We start from the raw sequence: 4,872 nt of genomic DNA, 5'->3' as shown, positions 1-4,872 counted from the left end.
TTACACATCACAGTTACAATTATGTTTAAATTACAATTAAACATCACAGCGAGGAAAAGATGGGCAATTCATCTTTATTTGCCTACAGAACCCAAGTCTGAAAAGTATCACTGGCACTCCTTCCCACAATCCTGTCTTTGCTGTTCATAACAAGATTAATTAAAAGGAAACTGCATTCATCTCCCGGGGCTGCTGTAACCAGTTACCACAACCTAGGAGGCTTAAAACAACCAATATGCGTCCTCTCACTGTTCGGAGGCCGGTAGTCCAACATCAAGGTGTTGGCAGGGCTGGTTCCTGCAGGAAGGGCTGGGGGAGAATCTGATCCCAGCTCCTGGCGTTTGCCAGCAATCCTTGGCTTATAGCTGCATCCCTCCAACCTCTGCCTCCATCGTCACGAGGTCTTCTCTCCTGTGTGTTTGTGTCCAAATTTCCCTTGTCTTATAAGGACACTAATCATTGGATTGGGGCCCACCTTAATCCAGTATGACTTCTTCTTAATTACTAACCGTATCTGCAAAGACCCCTATTTCCAAATAAGGTAATTTCCTGAAGTTCCAAGTATATGTGAGTTTTGGGAGGACACCATTCAACCAAGTACAGAGACCTACTTGAGTGTGACACTGAAGGTCTTCTCCAAGGCGACCCGTTGTGGTGAATAAGAGGCAAATGGAAACGGGCCATGTCTTGGGCACCACCAGTGGACAAGGGTTGGCACTGATTCTCTCAGTGACTGATGGGTCACTCTCAGGATGCCTGGGAGGCCAGACATGCCCCAGAGTGGCTGTGTGGGGGCATGTCTCCGTATACAGAAAGTTGGGATACTAAGGGAAGATGTCAGTTCTGGGGTTGCAAGGCAGTGGATTCTAAGATCCGCCCGGTCAAGCTCACCATGGCTGCCCCAGGGAAGTGGCCAAGAATATAAGAGCCACATGCAAGATCTGGCTGTGTCACTAACTAGCAGGGACCTAGAAATCCCAGGTCTACTCCAGTGAGGTATTTCTGGGACTGGGGATGTGTCCCTGTGTTAGGAGCCTCAATGCTTCTCGGTCTCCACTGAACTTCCCAAGGGGAAAGGGGCTGCTCCCAGCTGCAGAGCCCCGGCTGCCATAGCATCTCCTGTAGCAAACAGGTCTTGTTTCAGATCCTGCACTCAGAGAATGGAGCTCTTTGACATATGGGTCAGATGTCCTGGTTTTATTTCGGGGAGGTGAGTGACTGACCCTGGGACCTCGTGCAACCCTGGGGTTCTCGTGCTTCTTAAAGGAGAGGGAAGGCTCAGAAAAGCAACTTGCCTGCAAGTGAGGCTGTGTTCTGGGACACAGGCAGAGGACACCGTCCCCAAACCATAAAGCGGGGCACCCCAGATACAAGGAAGATATTCAAAGAGCTGGGCTGGCTTCCTCTTGACTTCCCACCAAGCCTGTAGGAGGGTTTGATCTTCACAACACCATCACGAGGCAGATATTATTATTGTCCCTATGACTTTGTTAAGGGTCTTGGTTGCAAATAACAGAATTTTAGCTAATTTAAGCAGCAAAGGCTTTTTAAGAGTAGGCAGCTCTTTGCATTCAGGGTGAGGAGACAGAAAACTGGGTCTGGGTGGTAGGTAGCGAGAGAGAACACCCAACCACTCTACGGGGGATGCTTTAGCAAATGTGCAACTGCTTCTTCAGACACAAGAGTTTAGCCATTGATGTCCCCAAAGATCCAGTTATTCCTGCCACCATGTTCACCAAAGAAAAGATAGTGCTTGAGCTAGTGATCTCTCTCTCCATGGAAGTCCTGTATGATTGTACCCGATTGATGATCAAACGGGTTGGAGAATTGAATTCTGACTTCTACATTAATGAGTACAGACTCACACTATGGGCAAATGTAGAAATCTCCAGTTACAGAAAGGGGATTCCAAGATGATAGGCAGCCAGAAATTGAAGAAATGCCCCCAACATGCCACTCTACCGTGAGAAAACAGTCACAGAGAGGTTGAGTAACTTGCCCAGGCAACATAGCTAGAAATGGTGGAGGGGAGATTTGAATCCAAGCCATCTAGTTACAGAGCTGAGATCTATGAGTCGGAGAGGGTTTGGACAGGTGGAGGTGGGAGGTGGAGGGACTCTGATCAAAGGCATAGGAGGAGGGGCAGCTCCTTGCAGAAGGAGCCACTGCTCCCCATATCCTGCCAAATAAAAGGGCAAGGAGGGAGGGGCTGGAAGGCGTGGGTAGAGGTATGAGGCCCTGTGGAACTCCTGCTGGCTGCCACCCATCTGCTTATGCAATTCCAGGACCCAGAGTGACAATGTGCCTGGATTGGGGTTTGTAACATAGGGGACCTGAAGGGAGCTGGGGGGCCCAGGTGTGGCCTGCTCCCATCTCTCAGCCTTGTGTCCCCCGCCAGCCCCCAGAAGGCCTGTGGGAACTGGATGTTCTCCCAGTCATATTGACATTGACGGTAAACAGAGACATTCCAAACCTGCAGGAATTGGAACAATGCAGCCAGGGCCTGAAGGCTACTGAGGTGACCCTGGGGAAGGCCAATGGGCTGGGGCTCCCTCCAGGCCAGCTGAGGAGGACCCTGCATGTGCTTAGCAAATACTCTAAGTGCCTACTGTGTGCAACACGGGGGTGAGGCATTCCTGGGACCCCACCCAGATATCGAGGGGGCTGGGTCAGCCCACTCTTGATGGAGTGGAGTTTCGATGTCACTCTCCTCTCGGCTCCTTGAGGGCCAGGGAGGGGCAGGGTGGGGCAATCTGAGATGCCAGCTCCCTGAATGCTGGGCTGGGATGGTATCACCACCCCACCCCTGTCAACAGCCTGACGTCTGGCAGATGGAAGCCAGCTGTCCCCAGGCTGGGTGCAGAGAGTTGCAAGGTCCTCTGACACTGCCTTCATGTCATGAGCACGCATTCCTCCTGGACTGGAATCTGCACTAGAAGGTACGAGGCAAACATCTCGAGAGGAGTTTAATGACTCCGGGCCAAAGTGGCATGGTGATGACAAGTACGGAGTGGGGCAAAACTGCTCCCTCCCCCAAAGAAGTTTCCCCTGAACTGTGAGAAGGACCAGGAGGCATGGACGGAGCTGGAGGAGTTCCCCACTCCTACCTGCCTGTCTCCTGTGGTTTGAGGACAGAGGAGATTCCTTTTCCTACTTCCCAGCCCTGACTCTTTACTGCTGGGGGACACAGGCTTGCGCGTCAGGTCCCCGCCTCACCAGCTGCCCTTCATCCCTCCAACGCCCAGCCTCTGGGCGGGTGTCAGGGCCCTTGTAGCTGCCAACACCCACCCACCCATCCTGGGCCTTGGCATATCCAGATCTGTACAGCTCAAAGTGTGGCCTGCAAGCCGTTCACAAACAGTTATCTGTTCCCCAAGAGCTGAGTGCAGTTCCCAGAGTAAGGGTTTGGAAACCTACATAGCAATTAGCCATTGCTGCGACATGTAGGCACAGGGGGATTTTTATAGTAAATTGTGAAAGTATTGGTGTGTGATGAATCAGCAACTGAAAACAGATGCACAGACTGGTCCTTCACCACAAATCATTTGAAAAACACTGAGCTAAGGGACCTGCGGGAAGAGAGCAGGGAGTTTCTCCTGGCAGCTGTCGGGATCACCCTGCCTCACCTCCTTCCCTCCATGTCTCTGAGCTCAGACCCTCCAGGAACTTCCAGGGGACCTGCCAGGGCTTCTCTGAAAGGCACGGAGTGCGCACAGCCTGGCTGAAGTCTGGAGGACCCAGGAATCCTTCAGCGGATCCCAGGATCCTGGGGTGGGATGCATAAGGCAGCTGGCTCAGGGTCAACTCTTTGCCCCGGGCCCCTCCCCTCCCTCTCAACCCAACCCTCTCCCTGCTGCCCCCTCACTAGTCCCACAGATCTGGCTGGTGCACTGCGTTAGGCTCCAGATGGACAAGGTCCCTGTCTTTCTGGGTTTGGGTTCTTGTGGCTATGGGTTGGGGGTGAGTGCAGACAATGAACACATGAGTAAATGAAGCAGATGATTTCAGGTGGCGCTGTGGGGAAATACAACAGGATGATGCAAAAAGGGATCAAGGAAGGTGGGCTTGGTGGGGTGCAGTATATCACGTGTGGACTGGGGTCAGGGAAAGTCTCTGGGACTTTTGAATAAAGGAAGGGAGTGAGTGGGCAAAGCTGTCTTTTTAAGAGCCTCAGAAGGTGGGTCACGCCTTTGTTGGGGAGACTGGGTGCAGTAACCTTGCTGCATTTGCCTGTACTTACCTGGCCACAGGAGGGGACCATGGGCCACCCACCAGAAAGGGTGGCGGGGTTTTTTTTGTTTGTTTGTTTTGAGATGGAGTCTCATTCTGTCGCCCAGGCTGGAGTGCAGTGGTGCAATCTCAGCTCACTGCAGTTCAACCCCCTGGGCTCAAGCAATCCTCCCATCCTCAGCCTCCTGAAAGGCTAGAGCTATAAGTGTGTGCCAACATGCCCTACTAATTCTTGTACTTTTTTGTAGAGATGGGGCTTTGCCATGTTGCCCAGGCTGCTCTCGAATTCCAGGACTCAAGCGATCTGCCCAACTCGGGATTCCAGGCATGAACCACTGCACCTGGCCATACTCTGCTTCTATAAGGTTTATGTGCTTAGATTAGGCCCACATGGATAAGTTCCTTTTGAGGAACTGAAACTCAACCAATAAATCCCTTTTGCTAAGTAAGGTAATAAAGGTAATATAGTCACAGGAGCGACAGCTCGGTATATTCTCAGGTCCACCCATCCTCAAAGGGAGAATTACAGAAGGGTGAGGTTCACGAGGGCTGATGGTTACGATCACAGCAGGCAGTAGGCCCCTAGACCTCCTGCATTAGGGCTGTGCTAGCCTGGGGGGTCTAGAGTGTTGGGTTTGAACT

General features: G+C 52.1%; 1 annotated feature.

The window, feature by feature from the left end:
- Nucleotides 4,357–4,446: an enhancer, noted in NCBI's record as "active region_10383". NCBI's record gives its function as "activates an Ori minimal core promoter by ATAC-STARR-seq in GM12878 lymphoblastoid cells {active_cell/tissue: GM12878}" and the evidence as "EXISTENCE:reporter gene assay evidence [ECO:0000049][PMID:35858748]".

The sequence above is a fragment of the Homo sapiens genome, chromosome 16, assembly GCF_000001405.40.
Source record: "Homo sapiens chromosome 16, GRCh38.p14 Primary Assembly".
In the NCBI taxonomy this organism is placed as follows: domain Eukaryota; kingdom Metazoa; phylum Chordata; class Mammalia; order Primates; family Hominidae; genus Homo; species Homo sapiens.
Note: the sequence above shows the minus strand (reverse complement) of the source record. Positions and strands in the feature narration are given on the sequence as shown.